At 35.5% G+C, this 2,186-nt stretch overlaps 1 annotated feature.

Moving 5' to 3' along the window:
* Positions 1,337-1,886: an enhancer, noted in NCBI's record as "OCT4-NANOG hESC enhancer chrX:80797713-80798262 (GRCh37/hg19 assembly coordinates)". NCBI's record gives its function as "activates a minimal SCP1, AML or CMV promoter by ChIP-STARR-seq in primed H9 embryonic stem cells {active_cell/tissue: H9 hESC(primed)}" and the evidence as "EXISTENCE:reporter gene assay evidence [ECO:0000049][PMID:30033119]".

Below are 2,186 nucleotides of genomic sequence, written 5' to 3'. Positions count from 1 at the left end.
TCAAAGGGCAAAAAGGAGAACAAAGATCACAAGACAAAGGGCAAAAGCAAAGATCACAAGGCAAAGGGCAAAAGCGGAATTACTGTTAAGGGTCTATGTTCAGCGGTGCACGTATTGTCTTGATAAACATCTTAAACAACAGAAAACAGGGTTCGAGAGCAGAGAACCGGTCTGACCTCAAATTTACCGGGGCGGGGTTTTTCCCTACCCTAGTAAGCCTGAGGGTACTGCAGGAGACCAGGGTGTATTTCAGTCCTTATCTCAACTGCATAAGACAGACACTCCCAGAGCAGCTGTTTATAGACCTCCCCCAAGGAATGCATTCCTTCCCCAGGGTATTAATTATTAATATTTCTTGCTAGGAAAAGAATTTAGCGATATAATCCCTACTTGCACGTCTGTTTATAGGCTGTCTGCAAGAAGAAAAATATGGCTCTCTTTTGCCTGACCCCACAGGCAGTCAGACCTTATGGTTGTCTTCCCTTGTTCCCTGAAAATTGCTGTTATTCTGTTCTTTTTCAAGGTGCACTGATTTCATATTCTTCAAACACACATTTTACAATCAATTTGTACCATTAACACAATAGTGGTCCTGAGGTGATGTACATCCTTAGCTTATGAATATAACAGGATTAGGAGATTAAAGTAAGACAGGCGTAAAAAATTATGAGTATTATTTGGGAATTGATAAATGTCCATGAAATCTTCACAATTTATGTTCCTCTGCCACGGCTCCAGCCAGTCCCTCTGTTCGAGGTCCCTGACTTCCCGCAACAATTGAACCATTGTTGAAAGTTAAATGAATCTCTAACTGAAAATTTGATGATTAACATAGCAATGTGCTATGTAGTTTATGTTAAGGAGAAAATGGAACATATTCTTTACTCTAGTTCTAAAGCTAATGATTAGACAAATTCCTGGAGATTATTTTTTTAAATAGGCACACAGTATGTTCATTTGAAACACAAATAAATTTTCCAAACAAGATGTCAGTGATTTACTTCTTACTGTAAAAGAGCTAAGTTCTTTTCTTTTTAGTCATATGACAAACATTCCACGCAGAGTCACAATAATTCACTAAATAGTCCTCCTGACCCATTGTCCCTTCCAAAGTGCTAAATATTTATATGACATAACATATACACTAGGGAAACCTAATACAATTTAAATGTAGAGTATGGTACAGAAGCTGCTGAAAACTTCACTCAATTTCTCAGCTCTTCATTTTTCTACAGAATTGAAGATCACTGAAGAAACAAAGAGAACAGAAAACAGTGTTCAAAATAATTTATTACCTGAAACAAACTGATAGAAAAAAATTAATTCAAATTCCCCAGAAGCAACATTCTTTTTTATTTCATATTCTCTAAATACAATTTTGCCTATGGCCCAAGTTTTACTTTCATTCTGTTTTTCATGCTTTTGTGTTCTCTCTCCTCCTTGACATTTCTAATTGCATCATCTAGCTAATTTTGTTAATATACCAATTTTGGAAGGGCACCACTGGAATGAAAATGTTAGGAGTACTGAACTTGCAAAGTTACATAAAGGATGGTTTTGACCAGTGATCAATCTATCGCATTGTCCCTCAATTCCCTACGTAAAATAACTTAAGCTTCCTACAAGTACTTTCTTTGTTGTTGTTGTCTGCATCACTATGGCAGGCTATTTAACACATCTATAATCTCAAACACTGATCATTTCTTTGTGGTGAGAACATTTGTTAGTTGGCCTAGCTGCAGTACATTCCTCCCTCCAAAAAATTTGTTTGTTCTTCTGTCAATTATAGCTTTTGAAAGGTTAAATTTAGGGCAAAATAAACCATTGAAAAACTTTCCAGAAAAAAAAAATCTGTTTTATAGATTTAACATTAATACCTTGGAGATATTCTGAGAAAATGCAGAGTAAACGTGTGTGTGTGTGTGTGTGTGCGTGTGCGTGTGTGTGTGTGTGTGTGTGCGTGTGTGTGTGTGTGTGTGTGTACAGGTAACAGTTTTGTGAAAAACAATAAAATATTTTGAAATAACATGGGTAGCAAAATTTGATAGATGCATTAATATATTCAAAATCTAACAAAACTTGTATACTACATAGCATGGTGACTATAGTTAATAATGTATTGTACATTTCAAAATAGGTAAAAATGGATTTCAAATATTCTCACCACAAAGAAATGATAAGTATTT

The sequence above is a fragment of the Homo sapiens genome, chromosome X (genome assembly GCF_000001405.40).
Source record: "Homo sapiens chromosome X, GRCh38.p14 Primary Assembly".
NCBI lineage: Eukaryota > Metazoa > Chordata > Mammalia > Primates > Hominidae > Homo > Homo sapiens.
The sequence above is the reverse complement of the archived record's forward strand: the minus strand, read 5'-3'. Positions and strand labels throughout refer to the sequence as shown.